Below are 23,491 nucleotides of genomic sequence, written 5' to 3' on the forward strand. Positions count from 1 at the left end.
CCGAATTATATTGGAAGTTTGAAATGCCGGTATTGATAATAGTCTGCAAATATCCACTACCATCTTCATTTTTCTTTAATTCTCACCATATTTATCCTACCAACAAGATAATTTGTAGAGTATGACTAAACACAGCAACTAAGAATGCTTTTACCAAAATAAAATTATAAGTTGTGTAACAGTTTAGTTTCAGATAAAAAAGCAGACGTTCTTTCTGCCAGTGCTAGAAGTCAGTGAACATTTGACAGAGTCAAAATGGTTCCCAAGAAAAGCAGAGAAAAGGGACAACCCCAAAAATAGAATGACTTCTCACAGACCACTGCTTGAGCAACTTGTGAGCTGTAGGAGGGGCGCTGGTTCCTAAGCCTGAAGTGGAGGGCATGTTTTAATCCAGCCTGCATGAGGTTGTAGTGTGGTGCTTCCCTACCTCGGGGCAGCGGTGGGCGGGCAGTCCACACATTGCTAAAGGACCTGAGGAAAGTGGCTGGAGCGTCCAGAAAATTGATGAAAACTACAAAGTCTGCTTGGTTCTGCTTTGGCTTGCTAGATTACATCCCTTTTTTGTAAAAGACAATAAACTTGAGAAGTCTTTTTAAAATTAGATAATCAAAGTTGAGATCACTGAGGGCTGTGTCCAGCACACAGGCTAGCTGGGAAGCAGCAGAGCAGGAAGGCACAAGCACAGATTGTGGGATCCCCCTGCTCTTCAGGTCTGGCCCCTCCCTCCTCAGTGCTGTGGCCTTGGGGCCAGCTTCTTCATCTCTCCCTGCCTCAGTTTTCTCATCTCTAGAGCAGGGATAATAGTAAGACCTACCTCACAGGGGCATTACAGCATTGAAAGGGCATCAGGTACTTCAGATGGTGCCTTTCTAATAATCACTCAGTAAATGCTTACAGTTCATTATAAATCTGAAGGAACCCAAAGGCGAAGATTGAGCAAAGTTGATTTGGTCTGCCCAGTGAAGAATACTTTCTGTATTTTGTAGTAAGGCTGACTTTAAAAATAGAGGTAGTGGATGTTGTTGTTTCTCTTTCTCTGCCCTTCCCCATGTATGTGAGGCCCTTCAGGAGCACAGGCACACATGCAGTGCCAATTTACTCCCAGATCCAAGGGTGTTCAGGAGTGGACCTCGAATTTCAAATAGCTGTGATTTTATTTAACTTTATTGGATTCTAGTTTTATTATATTACCACCAGAGAGTTTGGCCTTTAAGATCTCTAATTCTTTGAAATGATTAAGTTTTCCTTTGTGGCCTTCTTTATAATTGATTTTTATAAATATTCTATTGATGTGTGAAAAAAAATACAGATTCTCTATTTGAAGGATGTACTTTCTTTCTCTTTATCTAATTCTTCCACATCTTTACTTGTTTAGAATTGTCAGATTTGAGGAGATACGCAGTCATGCACTACATAACGATGTTTTGGTCAATGACCGACCGCGTGTAGTGTCGTGGCCACATAAGATTATTTCCTTTTTTTACTGTACCTTTCCTATGTTTAGATATATTTAGATATACAGATACTTGCCATTATGTTACAGTTGCTGTTCAGTGCATTAATATGTTGTATAGGTCTGTAGCCTAGCTGTGTAGGTGTTGTGTAATACACTCTGTGATGTTCACACAGTGAGGAAATTACCTAGCAATGCGTTTCTCGGATCAGATTGTATCCCCCTTGTTAAGCGACCCATGACTGTATAAAAAACTTCCTACAATATTTGTGTTTTTAACAAATGTTCATTAAATTCCCAACAGACTTTGCTTTATGGCTAATTAGAGGCTTATGAATGATTACAGTTTCTTTGTTAATTGTCTTTCGCCCTGTTATCTTAATTACCAGTTTAACCTGAAATGTAATCTTGTCAACTGTGAACACGGCCCTTCTCACCTCTATGCTTACCTATGCCTCGTGATGTCCATTCTGTAGTCCTCTGTGGGTAACTAGTCTAAACTGACCGTGCTAAGCTAATCCCTTGCCTTCTGCTGCTGATTTCAGTCTTTTTAAAAGGAATTTTAAAACATGATATTAAAGAAATGTAGAAAACTTATTTCGATGATAGGAGGGGAGGTAGTCGGGAAGACCTTATCTCCCAGGGAACACATATTCTCTGTTCTGGTATTTCTTCCCCTAGTGGAGCAGCAGTTCCAAACCCAAATGTTGTCTCAGGGGTCCTTTTCACTTTTTAAAATTACTGAGGACCCCAAAGAGATTTTGGTCATGTGAGTTATATCTATTAATGTTTGCCACATTAGAAATTAAAACACTTTTAAAAATATTTCTCCATTTATTTAAAAGTAAGGACTGGGCTGGGTGCAGTGGCTCACGCCTATAATCCCAGCACTTTGGGAGGCCGAGGTGGGCGGATCACCTGAGATCAGGAGTTTGAGACCAGCCTGGCCAACATGGTGAAACCTGTCTCTACTAAAAATACAGAACTTAGCCAGGCATACAGAAAACTACCGGGCATGGTGGCATGCACCTATAATGCCAGCTACTGGGGAAGCTGAGGCTAGAGAATCGCTTGAACCCAGGAAGCAGAGGTTGCAGTGAGCCGAGATCGCGCCATTGCACTCCAGCCTGGGGGACAAGAGTGAAACTCCGTCTCACAAAACAAAACAAAAAAACAGTAAGGACTGTATGTCTCACACCTTGGCACCCTCCTGGTGTCTGGTGTGATGGAGGGGATTATTCCTCATCTCTGCTCCTGAGTTCAGTCTTCCATAATGTAGCATGTCGGACTGTATGTCTCACACCTTGGCACACCCTCCTGGTGTCTGGTGGGATGGAGGGGATTATTCCTCATCTCTCCTGAGTTCAGTCTTCTGTAATGTAGCATGCTGGGGCCTCTGGAGCACTTCACTGCACACTAACGAATGTGAGGATGGAAAAGGAAAATCATATCTTAGTGAAACTGTGGAAATAGTTTAGACCTCGGGCTCCCCTAACAGGCCCCTAGACGATGCTTTGGGAACCGTGGTGGTAGAACTCTCTCTCCCAGACTCACTCTGCCCTGACCCCTCTTATTGGTGAGAAACAGGCATGTGTAACTCTTCTTTTTCCTTTGAGGAATAAAAGATATTTGTACATTTTGGTCTGTTTCTTTCATGTCTTAGTGCTGTAGGGCAAGAAGCCTATCTGGGGAGGCTTTGGTTATTAAGCAGTGCTTACGGCTGGCTGGCTTCATCTCAGTCTAGGATTCAGATTAGGAAATCCATTGTTGTGTGAATCTGAATCGCATCCGCCAGTCCAGCTATTATTAGCGATAATGCTGATAACCTCAGTTGGCCTGAATCCTTTGTCTCTAAATTGATTCTAAAGTGAGGCAGGGAAAAGGGGTGCTATTCAACACTAAAACAAGGAATTTAATAACAATATTCAGTTAATTTGAAAAGATAAAGGAACAGGATTGAAATTTTAACATTGGTCTTCTCAGCTTTGCTTGGCCTAACCTGATCTTATCTCTGGCCAGTGCCCTCAACTGGTGTGTTTTAGTGTAAGATATTTTTATGTAAATATGTTAGAAATCACAGAATGTTTTTTCCCCCAAAGATTATCATGTAATTGTCACATTTATAATGTTATTTGTGGCTCAGTATGTGACTTAGTGATTTCTCATTCTGGAAATCAAGAAAGGCTGGAAGGAGAATTGGAAGGAAGGGATGAAAAAACTCCATTTTCAGAGAAATAAGAGGCAGATGCAATTCACAGACTCTAAAATGTGCATGAGGCTTACCAAAAGCAGCTAAGCCTGGGCAGTGATACTATAGGCGGAACTGAGCAGAAGGGCTTAGGCTAACAAAAGCACTCGTCAGGGCCAGGTCTAGAAGTCGAGCCCCACATACCCTGTGCACTGAGAGGCTGAGTCGCAGATGTTCAACTCCAGCTTGCAGAGTGCAGAAGTTCCAGGGAGGACCACTGACAGCAAAGGGCTTCCTGGATCCAGTTTTACTCAGGGACATGGGCTGTGGGGTCTCCCAGGGATTCACATACATGCAGGTAGCGGCTGGGGGAGAGAGTGGTGGAACTGGGAAGGCTGGAAGCTGCCCTTCCCCCAACCCTGAGGGCATCTGCAAAACAGGTGCCCTAGGAAGTCCCACCTCACTCTGAAATGCCTGTTAGAGAAGGTGACCGTCACCGCATGGATATTCTCTAAGGAAATTGTCTGTGAAGCAGGATGGAATCATGAGCAGACAGTTCATCATAAATGAAAAAAACAGGAAACTCATGAAGGAGTTCTGTGGCAGGAGATCCCAGTGCAGGAATGCGACAAAACAGAAAAGAGATTTTAATGAGGTTGAGTATCCCTTAATCCCAAATGCTTAGAACTGGAAGTGTTTTAGATTTTGGATTTTTTCAGATTTTGTAATATTTACATATACATAATGAGATAACTTGGGGCTGGGATACAAGCCTAAACATGAAATTCATGTATGTTTCACATACACCTTATACATATTACCTGAAGGTAATTTTATACAGTATTTTTAATAATTTTGTGCAACCCATCACATGAGGTCAAGTATGGAATTTTCCACTTGTGGCATCATGTCCATGCTCAAAAAGTTCCAGAGTTTGGAGGATTCTGGATTTTGGAATTAGGGATGCTCAACCTGTACAACCAAGTGAGACAGCAGGAGACAAAGTCAAGTTGGCAGAAGAAAGGATGGCAGCAGCCGGGAGAACCACCACAGAGGCGAAGGTGGGATTGGAAGGGCCCAGGAGAAGACAGAGATGTTTTGGGAAACACAAAAAAGGTGATGGAAATAATACGAATGAGAAAATTAATAAGAATGAAACCGTAATCATGAGTTTAAAAGGAACTAGAAAGAAAATTACAGCTGAAGAGAACAGGGAGAGGGGTTCCAGCATATTTATCACTGGAATCTTCAAACAGGAAAACAAAACAAAAGGACAGAACAAATATTTAAAGATAATGTTCAGGAAAATTCTGCTCAGGTAAAAATAGATGGAAGTGTACATTGTGAGAGGGCAAATTTTATGCTGGGGAAGGTTGACTGAGAACAGGTTATGAGTGTGCCATATCCTACAGGAATTATTAAACTCTGAAGATGAAGCAAGAACCTCCCAATGGCTGAACAAACATGTCGTCTCTTACTGAGGGAAAAGATCAGGGTGGCTTCAAATTTCTCCAAATTCTTCAGATAGTGGAGTAATCCTTACTTATGGGATCCTCCAGGAAGAAAGGATGGCCCATGAATTTTATGTCCAGTCAAACCATCTTTTGTATCCAGTCTGCAAACAAACAGTATTGATCATGTGAGAACTCAGGGAATACTTACTGTTCTCATGAGCAGTTTCGGCTGGAGAAACAGTGTCCATCGGACTGGATGTCAGTGAATCTCTGCAGCATCAGCTGTGTGGCTGAGGGTGACGGAGCAGAGTGTGAGTGGAGGGCAGAGGAGAAAAGGTCGGTGGTTAGAGGTTTGTTGACTGTCTCACCTGTAATCACAGGGAGGCACTAAGATGTTATTCACTAAAATCAAGTTGTAGAGGAGAGGGATGGAAGGAAGAAGGAGCAAGATGAATGGCAGTTTTATCACAATGTGGAACAGTAAACTAACAGGCTAAGATGTGTTGTATGAGGATTCCGAAGGAGAGGGAATTACATAGAGTTAAAATTCCAAAAGTAACCCCTAGTACAAAATAGTGCAAACATTTCTAAATTTCAGAAGAACTACAGAGAGAACGCAAAGTTTTTCAAAAAGCTACAAAAACATGTCATAAAATTAAGACCAAACATGCTGTGTCTATACATGTAAACACATAACTTTATACACATAACCTGAAGGCTGGTAAAAGTAAAAGATTTCAGATTGAATCAAAAAGTGAAACCCAACTCCAAGTTGTACGTAAGAAGCACACCTAAAACAGAGATTTACAAAAGTTGAAAATAAAAGAATGAAAAGATACACTAGGGAAAAGTAAAAAATAAAGTGGGACAAAAAGCATTAAAGGAAAGCAGCAGCCCACTTTTTCCTGCCATGATGCACATCAGAGTAGGGGTAACTGGAAAAGCAGGGCATCCCTGGAGGGGCAGGTGGAGCAGCGGCGAGGGCCTCGGTCATCATTCCCACAGGAGACCTCTACTTCGTGGGTTCTGTCACAGGGATTTGTTACTGTGGCTTCCCAGAATACAAATTCTACAATTTTGTATTTTAGTGCAATTTATTTGCTATTTAATAATGAGTTTTTAAATACAAAATGGTATTTAACAATGAGTTTTGGTGTTGTGTTTCCTTTTTAATTTCTACATGGAAGGGCTGTTTGATTTTCTGATTGTCTGTTCAGCAAACAACTGCGAGTATGGGCTTAGGTTGTGAAAATACTTGTTAGTGCCCAACCATTCATTCTAGCCTCTTTCTGGTGTGCCCTTTTGCTACAGAGGCTGGAAAGCTAAAAGCTCCATTTCAGACTCTTGCAGCCTGGGCTCCGGGAGGAGATATGCTTCCACTAACTAAATGAATAGCCTGCAAGACTAGAAGACAGAGCTGTAGGCTGCGGCTGCCTCAGCTCCCTTGTATGAAGGTCTCTTCAGGTTTGCATGGGTAGTGACTGTTTCCTATACTTGGACTCGGACTGATACAGTGACTTAATTTAGGATGGCATGTTAGAAATCTTCATGCATGTGTGTTATATCACTGTGGTTTGTAATTCCATATTAAATATATATATCGCTCAGCTTTTTTCCGTCTTTCCTTTAAGCTGTTGCAGCTAATTGCAAAATCCCAGTTAACTTCATTGAGTGGCGTGGCACAGAAGAATTACTTCAACATTTTGGATAAAATCGTTCAAAAGGGTAAGATGATCACTGTATTTTTAATACTCTAAATCTTAATTAGAAATTTGGTGCAAGGAGATGGGATTTTTCTTTTATCTTTACCCAGTACACATACTGTCAAAAACAATTGTGTAAATAATGTGATAACATCAGAAATACAGGTCATCCTTCCAGTTCCCAGTGTTCTGTTACTGCCGTTTACTTTTTTAAAGTTGCTTTTGCATACAAATGGATATATTAGGAAAAATAACTAATCACACAACTTAAAAAAGCTATTTTACTTTTTCATGGTTAGCTAATCACAGTTCATTTTAGATGTATGCTTCCAAAATTAGCAGGATTGTGACTTACTCACTTAGGCATCAGATAAGCCAATAATTTTCTTTCTAATTTAATGAGCTTGCCTTGATAAGTTACTGGCTGTTAGTAAATGGAACTTTAAATTTCACACCATGACTTTATACATGCATAGGAATATATGACTCTATATTTAAGCCATTTTAAAGTAGCCTCTTTATGATAAGTACAAAAGAACGTGTAAACTGACCATTTTTAAGGCAAAATTGTAGACCCAACTGAAAATTTATCAGATAAAATTTTAAAGTTTTAAGAAATCTCATATTTGTGATATCTCAAAAATGATGTCACTTTTGGGTTGCAGTGAAATTACATCTTTTTATTGTGGTAAAATACACATTACATAAAATTTACCATTTTAGCAGTTTTTAAGCATACAGTTCAGCGGCATTAAGTGTGTGTATATTACTGTGCACCCATCACCACCAGTCATCTCCAGAACCTCTTCATTGTCCCAAACTGAAACTCATACCACCTTAAACACTGAGTCCCCATTCCTCCTCCCCACCAGCCCCTGGTAATTATCATTCTACTTTCTGTCTCTACGAGTTTGACTACTCATGTAAGTGCCTTATGTAAGTGGGTGCCTCATGTAAGTGGAGATATATATTTGTCCTTTTGTAGCTAGCTTATTTCACTTTGCATAATGTCTTCAGGGTTCATCCATGCTGAATATGTGTGAGAATTTCCCTCCTTTTTAGGGCTGAATAATATTCTATTGCATGTATAGATCACACGTTGTTTGTCTGTTCGTCTATCAGTGGACATTTGGGTTATGAAACTAGATCTTTTTTTAAAGTGTTGCTTAACTGTATCAATCCATAGTTTTATTTTTATTTATTCCAGTTCTTGATGACCACCACAATCCTCGCTTAATCAAAGATCTTCTGCAAGACCTAAGCTCTACCCTCTGCATTCTTATTAGAGGAGTAGGGAAGTCTGTATTAGTGGGAAACATCAATATTTGGATTTGCCGATTAGAAACTATTCTCGCCTGGCAACAACAGCTACAGGATCTTCAGATGACTAAGGTATAAATATCTCGGCATAAGAGTTATTACACTCTGTTTTTATATTACAGAAGTTATCTTTTCTAAGCATACATGAAAGACTGCTATAGCTTTTTGAAAGATTTTCTAATGCTTTCATAAGTATTCATTAAATTGTTTTAAAATAGAAAAGGACCAAAGACCCCAATGGCTTATAGTTGCTATTGGAAAGACAGTGGGAATAGCAATCATCAAACCAGGCTGATCCTATGGGTGATTAGATGTAAATAAATTTACCTTCATGGGAAACTGAATATTTCAGTTATTAGAATAACATTCAGTAAATTAAGGCTAAATTGTGTTGCCAGTAATTCTCTATTTATTTAGTTGTTGCTTCTCCCAAGTTAGTAACTTTTTGTCTTCTTCCTTGCTGTCTTTTTTGGGGATGTGTTTATAGTTCTTAGCAACAGTGAACAAGGCCAAAAGAAGGTGCAAATCATGTCAGTTTTTTTGATATTTTTTCTTTATTCTGGTAACTAGTTTCAACAAGAATAATGTTAACACCATTGCCCCGAGTATTTAGATAGTGTTTTATTTAACTCTAGTACTCATAAGAAAAAGAATAAACCGAAGATATATCTTAGCGGTGTGCCTTACGTAGCCTTGGTGGTATAAATGATTCTGCAGATTGCACTGCTAAGATCCTAGTTACCTTTTATCACAGCACCCCAGTTTTCACATAAAGGAATGGTTTTCAAGTGCCCTTTGAATGCCTTAACTTTTGGCTGTTTATTTGCCATCTAAATATGGGATTTACAAAAAGAGTGATGATTGCCTAGTTATGAGTCTGAAATTATCCTTAATAATGTAACATTCAGCGTCAGTAAGAGTTAAGCAAGTTTGTTATAAACGTTGGATTCTTTGTTCTGTTGTTGTCTTGGTGTGACCCTACAGTCATTCAAAGCTTTGCACAGGCTGGCTCTTCGCTGCCTCTTTTACTGCGTTCCCCATGCATAGGTGGGTTGTGCTAAAAGTCCATCTGTAAGACACTTATGCATGGCATGGGGCTTGCTGTAGAAGTCCTAACATGAGTGGCGAGGCCACATGGCCAAAGTCCCCTTTCTCCTGATGAGGCAGATCCGTGGTAGTGATGTTCAGCAGGTGACCTTCTGGGGAGAGAATAGGGTGTGTCCTTGTCCATGGTGGGTTTTCATGGTCAGGATCCCAAGGAAGGGGGTGTTTGGGAAAGGCCAAACACCAGACCAGGAAGCAGCCTTTCTTGTCTGGCTGGGAAGTTCCAGGTAGGATTAGTGGCTCTGCATTCTTTGGAGAGAGATGTGGAGCCAGTGGAGAGATGTGCACCGGTGGAGACAACAGCGAAGCTCCAAGGATTGGGCCACACCTCACCAAGAGGAGAGAAAGGAGAAAGCAAGGGACAAGCTTGCATCTTTGACTGGGTGGGCCGAGACAGAGCAGGAAGGCATGGCTGTATGCTGAGCTTCCTTCTGGATCTTCTTTCCATTCATACTACCTGGGAGAGGCACGGGCTGAGGGATAATAGTGCATGTGGCCCCAGCTTGCCCCACTCAGTGCTGACCATAGCCAGTGAAGGAAGACACTCTGCTTTTGGCCCGGGATGGTTCTTACAGCCCTGGTAGGCAGAGCACACTTACGTGGCAATACCTCTCTGCCTCAGCACAGAAGGATAGGTGTTACTGTAGTGCCATTTTGATCAAGTGGGAAAAATAAGGTACAAAAATGAAATTAATGTTTAATCTTTGGGGAATAAGAAAGCGCTGATGATAACACAAAGGTGCCAGTTTTCGTCATGTCCACTCAAATCTTACCATCAGAGACCTTGAACTTGTTTCTTCTCTTTCATTAGTGGTTGCATGCTGCCTGGCATCTCTTCACCTGAGTCCCTGGGTGCTCTCTGGAGCACGCAGCTTGGCATGTGCCTCTGTGAGGATCTTGGCTTCTGGACCCTGTGCCCTGCTTCTAGCCTCGAGGAGGGTCAGGTTCCCTTGTAGGAGTTGGCCAGAGGAGTTTTACCTTTCTGGGAATGTTACTTGAAACCAGTAGAAAGAGCACTTTACCAGCTCAGTTAACTGAGCTGCATTTGTAGATGCCGGACTCAGTCAGCCAAATTGGTCTAAGGCTGCTTAAGGTAAAGACCTGGTCTCCTGACCTGCTGGCTGATGCTGGATTGCTGCCTCCCGCTTATTCACGTGAATTTTGAGGTGACTCAAGCAGATGGGGTTAGAACAGAGCAGCTGAGAGCCTTCCCGGATCCCTGAGAGTGGAAGTCCAAGCACACCGCCTGAAGTTCCGCCATGTCAGCCTCAGGATATAGGGCCAGCTTTCTCCAGTGAGCTGACAGTTGTCTTTGTCTTCTAGATTATCCCAACAAGAAATACCTTGACACCCCTGGCCGGGCGCGGTGGCCCACACCTGTAATCCCAGCCACTTTGGGAGGCCAAGTCAGGTGGATCACCTGAGGTCAGGAGTTCGAGACCAGCCTGGCCAGCATGGTGAAACGCTGTCTTTACTAAAAATACAAAAATTGGCCAGGTGTGGTGGCAGGTACCTGTAGTCACAGCTACTCGGGAGGCTAAGGCAGGGGATTTGCTTGAACCCGGGAGGTGGAGGTTGCAGTGAGCCGAGATCGTGCCATTGCACTCCAGCGTGGGCGACAAGAGTGAAACTCCGTCTCAAAAAAGAAATACCTCGACACCCCTTAAATCTAAATACTCATAGTCCCAAAAGTAAGCAGAAATTTAGTATATATTTGTGTTGTAAAGTTCCTAAGAACATCAGAAATTTTTTTTCTTGTGAAACAAATATACTTTGCTGTTTAAGCTGCATTTGAAGATATGGCAGTGCTAATGAATTGGAAGTGCTTTCATGTGCACATCTCTGTGACTCAGTGAGAGCAGGCACACAGGTATGTGTTCACATGCTTCCTCACCCCGTCAGCACTTCCTAGATGCCCCCATGTGCTCGCTGGGCCCATCATGAGGTGGGACACATGGATCAGCAGGCGTAGCCTTTAGCATGGGGCCTCCGAGGGACCCAGGGAGATGAGCACATGATGTGTCACAGAACTCAGTGGGGTGTTATAACAGATATGCACACAGGGCTGTTGACATTACATTGGTTCACAAGTGATGTGATGTTTTAGGTGGAGCTTAAAGAATGGGCCGGGCGCGATGGCTCACGCCAGTAGTCCCAGCACTTTGGGAGGCCGAGGTGGGCAGATCACAAGGTCAAGAGATAGAGACCATGCTGGCTAACACGGTGAAATCCCATCTCTACTAAAAATACAAAAAATTAGCCGGGCGTGGTGGGACGTGCCTGTGGTCCCAGCTACTTGGGAGGCTGAGGCAGGAGAATTGCTTGAACCCAGGAAGCAGAGGTTGCAGTGAACTGAGATCACACCACTGCACTCCAGCCTGGGTGACAGAGGGAGACTCCATCTCAAAAAAAGAAAAAGAAAAAGAAAACAAAGAATGAGGGGAGAGTATCCAGGTGATGGCCTCCTGGTCAGTGCTTAACAACTGGCTCTCCAGGGGCAAGAGGTTTGATTTGTAGCCTTTGTCAGCTTCCCACTATGACTGACTTCAAGCCACCAACAAAAAGTAAACTGGCTAACGAAATTCCCAGAAGTTGCAGAATTGACTCCTGTGAGAAGGTATGGGAACTTCCGCATCCAGGGGCTAATAAAGTGTGTTATGCCAAATGTGTGGACTGCTTGGAGGAAGGTGCAGGGGATTAGGACCAGACTCAGGGCTTTGTGGGCATTGCAGAGCCTTTGCTGCTCTCTGCCAAGGGTCATTGAAAGGTCCTTGTTTAGAGGTCCCCTTCAGTGCCAGGCAGGGACCAGCCAGGTTGGAGGGAAGTAAACCCTCATTGCATTCATGAGCAGTGACAGTGAAATGGGAAGAATGAACTTGGGGATACTTGAGCAAAAGAGTAGACTGGTGACTTTGAAGTGGGTGCGAGGGAAGGAAGAATTGAGGGAGACTTCAGTGACTCACCACATATTGAGGGGATGGGCCTCCCATGGAGAAGGGCAGAGCAGTTGGGAACACGGACTTGGGGCCAGGCAGACTGGGCTCGAGGCTGGACCTCGATCTTGGGCAAGCCAGTCAACTCATCTGTATCTCTGTTTTTTTTCTGTGTAAAATAGAATGATAATAGCAACACAAGTTTCTGTTAGCAGAAGTGCTTCCACAGAGAAGTGGGAATCATTGACAGTTGCATGCAATAGCTGAGACTATCCTAAAGCAAGAGAAGCAGCAGCATCGTTTCTTCCTTCCAGTGCAGTGTAGGTGTGAGAGATTTCATGATGGCAGAGAGCATGTAGCTAATCAGTGGAGGAAGTGCAGCAAAAAACGCAGCAGGATTTCTGACATGTTCAGCAAGACTTTTGTGCCTTGTCACATTTCGAGATTTCGTTTGGATGAGAAGTGCTGGCATTTCTGCGACACCCTCTTGTTATAGCCATTAACAGGGATGTAAAACTGGACTCTGCCAGAAATCCCAAATGCTGAGTTGTCACACCAGACTCTATAACTCTACTAATCCGGGATTTTTTTTCTTCGTACTACCTTCATACCACCACTTCATGCTACCTTTAAAGTTTGTAATTTTAGCAGCAGAATATTTGTAAACTACTGTCTGCTACAGAAATTTTTCTCAGTAGGAATTAGAATGAAGCACCTGGAAGACATAATTCTTGTGAGAGTGTTAGACTTTTAGTTAGGGGTTAATTTACTTGCACGTTATCTTTTTGTTTTGTTTTGTTTTTGTCTTTGAGATAGGGTCTTGCTCTGTTGCCCAGGCTGGAGTGCAGTGGTTCAGTCATAGCTCACTGCAGCCTTTAACTCCTGGGCTCAGGTGATCCTCCCACCTCAGCCTCCTGGGTGGCTGGGATTATAGGCGTGAGCCACCCGGCCTGGCCATATTCTCTTTTCTATGTGCTCTCTGCCATATGCTAGACGATAAAGATGGAAGGATGGGCTAAGACTTGAATCAAACATTCGTCAGTAATGAGCAAAGACGTTTACTGAGAGCCTGCGGGGACCATGCTGGCTGCTGGGGAAGTGATGTCTCTTGGACTGTGCAGCTCCATAGCCTACAACAGGGCTGACATCTGCCCTATGCGTGGGTCCCATCAGCTGTAGGAGCAAAAAACGTGTGTACAGACAGGGCAGGACAGCACACTAGTGCAGTCCATGAAAGCTTCATGTCCAGAATGTTAGAGCACTTCACAAACTGTCAAGCAGTGTTGAGGCCCCACTCGTGTCTGGCAGATGCATAGGATGCTTGAGGTGAAGTGGCTTGGAGTGCATCACTGGCGGTCCATGCTCGTGCTGCCCACTGGGATGCATGAGAAGGGCCCTGCAGCAGTTTCCATTCTGAAGTCCCAGGAAGGTGCTTCCATAGCGAGGACATTATAGGGGAGCAGGAGAAGAAAGTGGGGTGTCAAGGCACGGGTGCCCCAGTCACCTCTCCCTACGCTCCACTCTCCACAGAGGTCAGGTGATTTTGAGAACCAAACTCATGGAATTAGCTCAGTCTAGCCAAAAATAGATGGTCACTGTGCTTTGTGTGCAGTAGGATTATAGAAAGCCACGACACATCAGAAGGAAGCTAGCTCTCCTTGTGGCCAAGTACATACATCGACCTATTGGGAACAAAAGGAAAACACAAATCAGAAGCTCGCAGGTGAGCACACGACAGAAGCGCCACCCCAGACTGGGGTCAGGAGCTGAGGCGGGACCAGGTAGCCTCTGTCCCGCCCAAACAGCCAGAACCCCACTGTCAGGAAGACGTGTTTCTAGTGAGAATGAAGGGATTTATTTAGATACAACTGAGCCCTGAAAAGTCTGAAACAGTTTGAGCTCAAACCCAATCCAGGGCTGTCTCAGGTCAACCTCAGAGCAGAGTTTAGTTTTTGAACTGATTCAGCCCACTTCTTGGGGCCAAGGACAGCCACCCTTCCTCAGCCTGGCACGTGCACACACATGTATCTTCTGAGGGCAGATGCATTGCATTTACTCTCTGGCGTGTGTGAGGGAGAAATGGTTTGTAAACTTGAAGTCATAGAAATGTAAAGCTGGAAGGTGGGGGGATGTTGGATGGAGGGTGAAAGGTTTCTGTAGTGCAGGAGGAGTCCATTGTGGAGGTTGTCTACACAGCATGATGACTGCAGTTAATAATTATACATCCTTTACTTCAAATTTGCTAAGAGTAGATCTTACATGTTCTCACCACAAAAATAAAAGGATTATGACTTGAGGTGATGGACAGTGAGCTGGGCTGTGGCCATCGGTTCATAACGCATACAAGCACAGAACACCACATGCTGCCAATGTAGACAGATTGCATTTATCAGTTACACCTCAATAAAGAAAAAAACCCCACAAAGCTAGAAGGAGCTTTGCAGACGATGTGGTCAACCTCCCTCATCACTGGGGTGACCAGCTGTGACCCATAAAGGCCTAGGGGCTGTCCAGGCCACCCAGTGGTGTGGCACAGGCCCTGCCCCCTGCTGGTGATGGGTGTCATGTTGCCCTCATGGTGCATTGGATTCATCTAGGCAGCAGCGCCACATCCACAGACGCTGCCCTTCTCCAGGTGCGTCTTGATGCAGTAGAGGAGTACTGACCTCCTGATGCTGACGCACACCTGTCGCATGGGGAGGTGCAGCAGTAGGGCCTCACCCAGGAACAGCCTGGTTCTGTCACGCTGTGCAGCCCTCTCTTGCTCTCCTCCTCCAGCCTTCCCCACGGTGGTGGATGCAGGCCCCTTGACACCTTGCGACGCATGACATGGAGAGCTCTTTTTGTGTTACCATGTTTTGAAGCATTCATTCCAGCTTGACTCTTCAGTTACTGTGTGAACAAACATTGGCCATCTTCTCAGTGAGTTGCTGTTGTGTTTTCCTTTCAGCAAGTGAACAATGGCCTCACCCTCAGTGACCTTCCTCTGCACATGCTGAACAACATCCTATACCGGTTCTCAGACGGATGGGACATCATCACCTTAGGCCAGGTGACCCCCACGTTGTATATGCTTAGTGAAGACAGACAGCTGTGGAAGAAGCTTTGTCAGTACCATTTTGCTGAAAAGCAGGTGAGTGGGATGCAGCAGTCTCCCCTCAGGCTGGGAGTTTATAGACTCTGCCTGGGGGCCATACCCTATAAACTCACCTGGAGAGAAAGAATGGCTGAGTATTTTCTACTTTTAAAGAACCAGGAACAATCAGAGTTTATTGAGATTGCTGTGGGTTCTCTCCTATAGAATGTAAGGTTTATTTTTCATATTGAATAGAACCATGACTCTAAAAATAACCCAAAACTGAACAGCAAAGCAAGAACTGAGTTCTTTTCTCTCCTGTTGATAACGAGGTGCATAGAGTCCCTGGCTCACTGCCTTTTCTCCTGATTTGATGAATCAGATTCCAGTTCTTTTGACCAAGCTGCACATCCTTGAAAAGTCAGGTGCCCTCTGTGTGCCTCAGTCTCTCAGCACTCGGTAGATGCCGCTCCTGAGTGTCCACAGCCCCTCCCCCCTGCCTTGTGTGCTGCACTTGGGAGTGCACGTGGGGCAGCAGAAGGTGTGTTCTGCTGTCACTCCTTGAGGCCTTTGCAGGGTGGTCTGCTTATTCCTCATCCACGATGAGACCCTGTGGTCCCTGTTCCTGGGCCTCTGCAGAAACTGGGGGTTCCCCTCGTCACCCCACAGATGTCCAAGGCACCTGCTCTGCACAGGGCTGGTCGCAGCCAGAGAAGGCAGGTGGCTGGAGGGAGGCATGTTGTGCTCCTCGTGGGGTGTGATTTGAACTGTGGTCAGCACCTTGAAGACCTAGGATGGGACTGGGTGCCTTTCATGAGGAGCATAGCCTACCCTTGGAATGCAGGGCAGTCGACAGGGCCTAGGCAGAGAGCCGGACCCTAGCATGGGGAGGGTGCTGTGTGTTTGGTGGATAGTGAGGAAGCACGGCAGAGGCCGAGCTACACTAAGAATCCTTGTCTGTGTCCTGTGAGCTCAGGGGAGCCAGCAAAGCACATGGAATTGCAGCTTTCAGAAGAGCCTCTGTTCTTGTTTGAGGACTAGGCTGGAGTGGATACAAGAGGATCCATGAGGATCCTGCCTCAGGAAAATAAGAGTTATGGGCAAGGAAGTGCACAAGGGCAACAGGGAAGACATCAGAAGATGACCCCGATGGGATGGGGGCTGCCACAGGAAGGGGCTGGCCTGAACATGGGCCTCACGGAGTGTGTCTGAGAGGTATGTGGAGCTAGGGCCTAGACAGATGCATATGGAGAGGACAGGAGGCAACGGGATCAGCCTGGGCAGGGCCTCAGGGCACCAACCCCAATGTTGAGGGATAGAATGAGGTGCCCCAGAACCTGGGGGGAGCTGGACTCTCAAGGCCATGGACAGAGAGATTAATAGGACAAAGAAAAGCCTGTGAGATTTAGCCGAGCAGAGGTTATGGATGCCTTGGGGAAAACTCTCTCAAGTGGACTTGTTCGGGAGAAGCAAAAGAATTCCAGTATTAATTTGAGTAGGAGAACAGTAGATTGAATTTTAAGTCAGCATTGGGCATGGGGGAGGGGGTGGATAGAATTTTGTGTGGAGGATTTAGATCCTAGGAAAAGAGGTAAATGAAGGTTGCCTGGGATGAGCCCTCTGCCTCCCAGTTTGCCCTGGGACACTCCCTATCACGTGCAGGCCCGAGCTGTTCCCAAAAGGCGTTAATGAGAGTGCCTGGCAGGTGTTTATACATCTAGACCCTAAACATACTTAAGGATGTCTTTTGGCCATTTCTGTGGTCATTGCCATTCTTAAAAGAGTTGCTTTAAATAAGTTAAATGTCTGTTCTGCACCCACATCCTAGAATAGTTAAGTTGCAATTAGCACCTGCAGGTGCATCTCATTTGTACACATTTTCTTAACTGAATCATAAAAACACAGCATCAGAAAATAATGATCTGTTCTTCAGGCCTCAGTAACTAACATTAAGGCCCTGAAAAAAAAAGCATATTAGAAATAGCTTTTATGAGAAAGCTTAGATAAGGAAGCATCCTCAAAGTAAAAACTAGATACCTGAGAAAACTGGACTGGTTCAAGATAATATGGAAGGAAAAGTCAGCTAAATGCTCTTGACTGGAGCATCTGGTGGGATGTTGCATTTGAGTTCAGAAAAATCACAGATGGTTATTCAGGAGGAAAACCATGGGAGGGGATTCTCCCGTGAACACTGGTGTCACACACAGTCAGTGAGAAGTAGGAATGAGACAACAAACGGTTGTTTTTAGTCTCTAGGAACTATTGTTTTAACAGTACCTGCCTGGAGGACAGAGAAATTAATATTAAATATGAACAGGCTGATAACGACTTTTTATTTTGCAAGTAGTCTTCTTTTCAAATTTTATTAGAAACAAGATTTCCTCATTGACTCCACGATAATTTCCAGAGTCCTCAAAAGCCGTGACTGAAGTATGAGTATGTTATACAAGTGATTGTTTTTAGCTTTGAAAAGTAAAACATGCTCATTGCAGCAACAGCCATAAAGACTAGTACAGTGTTGTACAAACAAGTTAAAAGGCCCCCACCCCAAGGCAGCCCTGTTACTCCTTTAGCCCGTGCATTTTGTTTTTTGTTTCAGGCTTTTGTATGCACTCAAACATACACATTAATTTCGCTAGCTCTGCACTGGTCATTTTCAAAACTGTAATTGAAAGTCACTCTGTAATACTGATGTTTTTGGTAACACCTTTATTAAGATACCCTCCACTTTATGCAGCCATCACTACAGTCGATGTTAGGATATTGGCATCTGTATTAGTCCATTCTCCGCTGCCAATAAAAGACATACCCGAGACTGGGTAATTTTTAAAGAAAAAGAGATTTAATGGACTCACAGTTTGATGTGGCTGGGGAGGCCTCACAATCCTGGTGGAAGGCAAAGGAGGAGCAAAGTCACATCCTACATGGCAGCAGGCAAGAGAGCATGTGCAGGGGAACTGCCCTTTATAAAATCATCAGATCTTGTGAGACTTATTCACTATCACAAAAACAGCATGGGAAAGACTTGCCCCCATGATTCAGTTACCTCCCACCGGGTCCCTCCCACGGCACATGGGAATTATGGGAACTACAATTCAAGATTTGGCGGGGGACACAGCTAAAACATCAGCATCACCTCAGGAAAAACAAAACAAAACAAAACATGCCCTTCAGCTGCCATTCCTAGCCCCAAGCAACCCCTAATCGACTTTCTGTCTCTGTGTTTCCCTGTTCTGGATGTGTAATGTAAGAGGAATCTATGGCATTTCTCATCTTGTGACTGGCTTCTTACCCTTTGCATGATGTCCTTACGGCTCCATGTTGTAGAATAAATCAGAGCTTCATTCAAGACTGAATAATATCCCCCTCTATGTATATCCACTTTTTGTTTATCCATTCATCAGTTGATTGACATTTAGTTTGTTTGATAAAAGTTTGTGGCTTTTACAAATAATGCTGCCATGAACATGTTCGAGTTTGTGTGTAGATGCATGTTTTCATTTCTCTTGGTTATAAACCTAGGAGTAGAATGGCTGAGTCATATGGTGGATTCTGTTTAACTTTTTGAGGAATTGCCAGACTGTTTGCAAAGTGGCTGCACCATTTCACATTCCCCCAGCAGTGTGTGAGGTCTCTTGATTCTCCACCCCTCCCCAGTGCTTCTCATTATTTCACTTTTTGATTAAAGCCATTCTAGTGGGCAGGAAGTGGGTCTCATTCCATTTCCCTGATGACTGGATTCTAGAGCATCTTTTCATGAGGTTATCGTCCATTTCTGAGACTTATTTAGATAAATGTCTTTGCATGTCCTTTGACCATTTTTTAAACTGGGTTATTTGTCTTTTTATTATTGAGTTGTAAGTGTTCTTTATCTATTCTAGATATAAGTCTGTTATCACATATGATGTGTGTAGCTTATTTTAATTTAATAATACATTATGGACATTATTCTGGATTGGAGTATTTAAGTCTGTTTAACAGCTGCTTGGTATTCCATTATACAGGCATAACACAATTTATTTGATTTGTCACTTATTGATTTAACCCAAGTGAGTTTAATTTCAAATAATTGTTTTATGTACTACACTGCCTTTGAAAAATAATTTCAGATAGACCTGGAGGCCATTATTCTAAGTAAAATAACTTAGGAATGGAAAACCAAATATCATATGTTCTCAGTTATAAGTGGGAGGTAAGCCACGGGTACACAAAGGCATTCAGAGAGGTATAATACACATTGGAGACTCAGAAGAGGGAAGGGTAGGAGGAGGGTGAGGGATGAAACACTACATGTTGGGTCACTGCATACTTCTCCAGTGATGGGAGCACAAAAATCCCAGACTTCAGCACTGTACAATTCATCCATGTAACCAAAACCCACTTGTAACCCTAAAGCTATTGAAGTTTAAAAAAAGAAATTAAAAACTAAAATAAAATGAAAAAGTTTTACACCTAATATTATGTTTTGAAAGTCATCTTATGCGGATTCTGAATGGAGTTTTGTTTGTTTAGTTTTGTAGACATTTGATCCTTTCAGAAAAAGGTCATATTGAATGGAAGTTGATGTACTTTGCACTTCAGAAACATTACCCAGCGAAGGAGCAGTACGGAGACACACTGCATTTCTGTCGGCACTGCAGCATTCTCTTTTGGAAGGTACTGATTTAAATGCACTCTTGGAATTTCAGGATTAAATTTTGGTGAAACAAACTAATCACCTATATTTTAAGTATAAGACTAAAAAGCGGAAAATACTGTTTGTTATAAGTAAGTTAAGGAGATATATTTTACCAAATATTGGGGTAGGGGAACAGATGTTCATTCAATGTGTAGCTTAAACCAGAAACGCTGAAAACCAAAATGCTTCTCCTTTTTGCAGAAGTTAGCATGCAGGAGGGCGTTGCAGGCGGATTGCAGCCAGTGACCTTTCCTGGCAGCAGCTCCAGATTCCCTGCTGGCCCCCAGCCTGAGGTTGAAGGCTGGAGTGTGACCCCTCTGCCCATCTGAGGACAAGTGCACCTTCCTCGTTTCCCCAGACTTAGCCCTCGGCCCTTTATGTCCCCACCGACTCTGCAGGGCCAGGACCAGCTTAGGCTTCATTTCTCAAAGCCACATTCTTAGAAAAAAAGTGTCCATAGAGAAGTCCTAGATTTTAAAATCTGCATTTTTCTCATTCATATGATCAGAACTTAACAAGACTATCGTTACTTATCTGCAAGTCTCATCCCTTCATCCAGTTACTTCCTGTTCTCACCATCCAGACTGTGTGTCTAAATAGAATGTTTTTCACAGTCAGAGAGGTAACTGCTTATTTCTTTGTTGTCTTTTTTCTTTTTTGAAATAGGGTCTCGCTCTGTCACCCAGGCTGGAGTGCAGTGGCGTCATCACGGCTCACTGCAGCCTCTACCTCCTGCCTCTCAAGTAGCTGGGACTACAGGCAGGTGCTACCACACCCAGCTAATTCACTTCTTTTTTTTGTTTGTTTTTTTGAAACAGCATCTTGCTCTGTCACCCAGGCAGTTATGGGTGCAGTGGCGCAATTATGGCTCACTTCAGCCCCGACTTCTGGGCTCAAGTGATTCTCCCACCTCAGCCTCCTGAGTAGCTGGGACCAGCTGATTTTGTTTGTTTGTTTTTGGTAGAGACAGGGTTTCACCGTGTTACCCATGGCTGGTCTCAAAACTCCCAAGCTCAAGCAATATCTATGTGCCCCAGCTTTCCAAAGTGCTGGGATTACAGGCGTGAGCCATGGCACCCGGCAATTATCCACTTTTTTCTTAACATGTTAATATTATTTCACCCTGGAGTGTGTTTCCATGGTTTGCCTTGCGTTTGAACATGTTTATGTTGTGAGATTTCACCGTGGGGGAAAAAAAATGTTGAAACTAGGCATAAGCTGGTCCTGGAGTGACCCTGCTGAGCTGCTGGCTGCTCTGCGGAGGGAGTCCTCTGACTGTCCCTGGTCTAGATGAGGCCCTGCCTCTTGCAAGAGTGGGCTGTCTCTGCCTCTTGCCTTCTCTAGGTCTAGGGAGATGAGGCTTTTGCCTGATAGACACCATAACCTTTTGTGATTACTTTTTTTGCTTTACATTATCTATATTTGTTATCAGATAGGTCATACGGCAAACTCTAGGTTGTCGGAAAGAGACAACTGCTTTTCATTTTTTCATTTCAAATTACATTTATTCTAAGTGTGGCTTTAAAAATTAATCCGTGGTTGAGCAGAGAATGTAAAGATGTGTTTTTCTTGTATTATTTTAATAGTTTTATTTGGTATATCAAAGGTAAACAGCATCATACATGAATATGAGATTTTATTTCTGATTTATTGTTTTATATTTTGGTATGACTTCTCTCTTTCCTGAAATTAAAAAGATGCAAGTTGTGTTATGTGTTTTTGCAGTAGTACAACTGTCTTGTAGACTATTATCCCTCAAGAGCAGGGAACATCTTGATTCCAGTTTATTCTCGATTTGGTGAAGTCAGCAAATCAGTTCATCAGTAAGATTATGGATATACAGGAGAGAACCCTCATTCTATTCTTTTCTCCCCAGTTATAGGGCACAGAAGGCACAGTATGGGGGTGAGTTGTCTGCAGTAGAAGCCACAGGCAGATGCTTGTGGACAGAAGGAAAGGGGCCGATTGAGTGAAGTCCAGGTTCCCAGCCAGCTTTGACACCTGACCCTGGAGGGAACAGGGCCCCCCTTCTGTGTAATTCCTTCTAGGACTGACACCTGTTCTTCTCTGAAATATTAACACTGAAAACATGTGACTGTGTCTTCAGTCACAGAGTAAGAGTGGACACAATACTGTAGTTTCTAATTTGAGTTAGTGCTTCTCCTAAGAGTTACTTGTCTTTTTTTCTCCTGAGCAGATTGTTTTGTACTATAGAACTATTACAAGCAATGATACTTTTATAGGGAAAATACCATTCATAGAAGGGATAGAAGGCTTTCAGTTTTGTATGTGGTAGTATTTTTCTTAGAACAATATTTATCAATATTGGAGCTCTCCCTGTCTGCTGAGCAACTAACAAAGAAATACACAGTCCTTCGCTTCCACATTGTTAGGCAGTACAGATCAAGTCTCCCTTATCTGAAATGCCTGGGACTTGAAGTGTTTCAGATTTCAGATTTTTTTCATCTGTTTCATTTACACAGAGCTTGAAGATAATTTCATACAATGGTTTAGTAATTTTATACATAAAACAAAGTTTGTGTTACTTAACATGTGTAGTTTTCCACTGTGGCATCATGTCACTGCTCAAAAGTTTGGGATTTTGGAGCATCTCAGATTTTTGGATTACAGGTGCTCCATGTATATAAGAATATGCTGCCTTAGTTTCCTGAAATATGTAATTTCTGATTTTTTTAAATTGAGAGATGATGTAGCCTTCCAAAAGAATTTGCTTTGCCATTCTTGTATTTAGTGAACTTTGTTATCATACTTGATCATATCATGGAAATTGAGAACAAGTCTCTCCTAGGAAGGACAGCTGCCCATCTCTTAGTTCTGGGAGGTTCATGTCTTGCCCTTGGAGGCTGTGATGTCCACTTCACTGTAGCTACAGTGAGTGGTCCCATCACAGCTTCTCCCACTGAATATCATTCTAGAAGGCAGTCCACGTTTTTAGTTCTGAATCCATGCATTGGAAGTATTCAAAAAGAGCCATCTCTCCTAATTTAACCCCTCAAGATGTCAGGTACTTCTTGCCCTGTCTTCCATCTCCTCCGCCGTGGGTTTGCCCAGTGTGGCTAACCAGAGGCGAGTGGCCTGGTGGGCCAAACCCAGATTGGAGTCAGGCAGACCTGGACCTGCCTCCGGGGTCTCCTGAGCTTGCTGCCCCTCCTAGGGTCTTGGTTTGACGCCATGACCCACCACACAGAGGAGCTGTGGATGTTCAGCAGTCCTGCACCTGGAAACTGGCACATAGCTGGTGCTCAGAAAATGGCACTTAGGGTTAGGGTCACTGCTTGTTCTTTGTTTGTTTAGCATCCCAGTAGTTTGTGTTGACTGAGAAACTAAAGTAATATCAAAGCTGTTAAGAAAATGAGACTGGGTGTTGTTGACTCTAAATTCTGGCCCTGGGACTTGGTCATGAGCCGACACCATGGTGCATCTGTCTCAGGTCTGCATCTGGTATTTATCACTTCCCACAGTACATAAGCTTGGAGCTCTCCAGTCAGCAGTGCTGTGGAGCCACTTCATCTGCTCCCAAGCTGGTTTCCCATCTGTTGTGGCTCTACTATATTGGAGTTC

At 43.6% G+C, this 23,491-nt stretch overlaps 1 protein-coding gene across 12 annotated transcripts in view; it reads left to right on the forward strand.

Moving 5' to 3' along the window:
• Window positions 1-23,491, forward strand: part of FBXO25 (F-box protein 25) — a 71,010-nt gene that overhangs the window by 36,306 nt on the left and 11,213 nt on the right. For all 12 annotated transcript variants that reach the window (XM_047421684.1, NM_183421.2, NM_183420.2 and 9 more), the window contains 4 exons: window positions 6,727-6,820; window positions 8,006-8,190; window positions 15,106-15,288; window positions 19,744-19,887. In XM_047421684.1, coding sequence (XP_047277640.1) covers window positions 6,727-6,820; window positions 8,006-8,190; window positions 15,106-15,288; window positions 19,744-19,887 — 606 coding nt within the window. The remainder of the gene's footprint in view (window positions 1-6,726; window positions 6,821-8,005; window positions 8,191-15,105; window positions 15,289-19,743; window positions 19,888-23,491) is intronic.

The sequence above is a fragment of the Homo sapiens genome, chromosome 8 (genome assembly GCF_000001405.40).
Source record: "Homo sapiens chromosome 8, GRCh38.p14 Primary Assembly".
NCBI lineage: Eukaryota > Metazoa > Chordata > Mammalia > Primates > Hominidae > Homo > Homo sapiens.